The 2,028-nt window shown below is 38.5% G+C and overlaps 1 annotated feature.

The window, feature by feature from the left end:
* Positions 295-464: an enhancer, noted in NCBI's record as "experimental_30893 CRE fragment used in MPRA reporter constructs". NCBI's record gives its function as "activates a minimal promoter by MPRAs in K562 erythroleukemia cells, with activity observed for the introgressed 12:7699446 variant allele {active_cell/tissue: K562}" and the evidence as "EXISTENCE:reporter gene assay evidence [ECO:0000049][PMID:34662402]".

A 2,028-nucleotide genomic window follows, 5' to 3' on the forward strand; every position in this document is an offset into this window, starting at 1 on the left:
TCACTCAAAACTGCACAACTACATGGAAACTGAACAACCTGCTCCTGAATGAATACTGGGTAAATAACAAAATGAAGGCAGAAATAAAGATGTTCTTTGAAACCAATGAGAACAAAGACAGAATGTACCAGAATCTCTGGAAAACATTTAAAGCAGTGTGTAGAGGGAAATTTATAGCACTAAATGCACACAAGAGAAAGCAAGGAAGATCTAAAATCGACACCCTAACATTACAATTAAAAGAACTAGAGAGGCCGGGCACGGTGGCTCACGTCTGTAATCCCAGCAATTTGGGAGGCCGAGGTGGGCAGATCACGAGGTTAGGAGTTCAAGACCAGCCTGGCCAACATGGTGAAACCACGTCTGTCCTAAAAATACAAAAATTAGCTGGCCATGGTTGTGGGCACATGTAATCCCAGCTACTTGGGAGGCTGAGGCAGGAGAATCACTTGAAACAGAAGGTAGAGGTTGCAGTAAGCCCAGATCATGCCACCACACTTCAGCCTGGGTGAAAGAGCAAAACTCCATCTCACAAAAAAAAAAAAAAAAAAGAACGAGAGAAGCAAGAGCAAACAAATTCCAAAACTAGCAGAAGGCAAGAAATAACTAAGATCAGAGCAGAACTGAAGGAAATAGAGACATGAAAAACCCTTCAAAAAAATCAATGATTCCAGGAGCTGGTTTTTTGAAAGGATCAACAAAATATACCACTAGCAAGACTAATAAAGAAGAAAAGAGAAGAATCAAATAGACGCAATAAAAAATGATAAAGTGGATATCATCACCAATCCCACAGAAATACAAACTATCATCAGAAAATACTATGAACACCTCTACTTAAATAAACTAGAAAATCTAGAAGAAATGGATAAATTCCTGGACACATGCCCCTCCCAAGACTAAACAAGGAAGAAGTTGAATCTCTAAATAGACCAATAACAGGCTCTGAAATGGAAGCAATAATTAATAGCCCACCAACCAATAACAGTCCAGTTCCAGATGAATTCACAGCCGAATTCTACCAGAGGTACAAAGAGAAGCTGGTACCATTCCTTCTGAAAGTATTTCAATCAATAGAAAAAGAGGGAATCCTTCCTAACTCATTTTATGAGGCTAGCATCATTCTGATACCAAAGCCTGGTAGAGATACACACAAAAAAAGAGAATTGTAGGCCAATATCCCTGATAAACATCAAAGCGAAAATCCTGAATAAAATACTGGCAAACCGAATCCAGCAGCATATCAAAAATCTTATCCACCACAATCAAGTCGGCTTCATCCTTGGGATGCAAGGCTGGTTCAACATACGCAAATCAATAAACGTAATCCATCACATAAACAGAACCAATGACAAAAACCACATGATTATCTCAATAGATGCAGAAAAGGTCTTCAATATAAATCAACAACCTTTCATGCTAAAAACTCTCAAAACACTAGGTATTGATGGAACATATCTCAAAATAATGAGAGCTATTTATGACAAACCCACAGTCAATATCATACTGAATGGGCAGAAACAGGAAGCATTCCCTTTGAAAATGGGCACAAAACAAGGATGCCCTCTCTCACCACTCCTATTCAACATAGTGTTGGAAGTTCTGGCCAGAACAATCAGGCAAGAGAAAGAAATAAAGGGTTTTCAATTAGGAAAACAGGAAATCAAATTGTCTCTGTTTGCAGATGACAAGATTGTATATTGAGAAAATCCCACTGTCTCAGCCCAAAATCTCCTTAAGCTGATAAGCAACTTCAGCAAAGTCTCAGAATACAAAATCAATGTGCAAAAATCACAAGCATTCCTATACACCAACAACAGACAAACAGAGCCAAATCATGAGTGAACTCCCATTCTCTCAATTACTACAAAGAGAATAAAATACCTAGGAATCCAACTTACAAGGGATGTGAAGGACCTCTTCAAGGAGAACTGCAAACCACTGCTCAATGAAATAAAAGAGGACAAAAACAAATGGAAGAACATTCCATGCTCATGGATAGGAAAAATCAATATCGTGAAAATGGCC

This window comes from Homo sapiens, chromosome 12 (genome assembly GCF_000001405.40).
Source record: "Homo sapiens chromosome 12, GRCh38.p14 Primary Assembly".
In the NCBI taxonomy this organism is placed as follows: domain Eukaryota; kingdom Metazoa; phylum Chordata; class Mammalia; order Primates; family Hominidae; genus Homo; species Homo sapiens.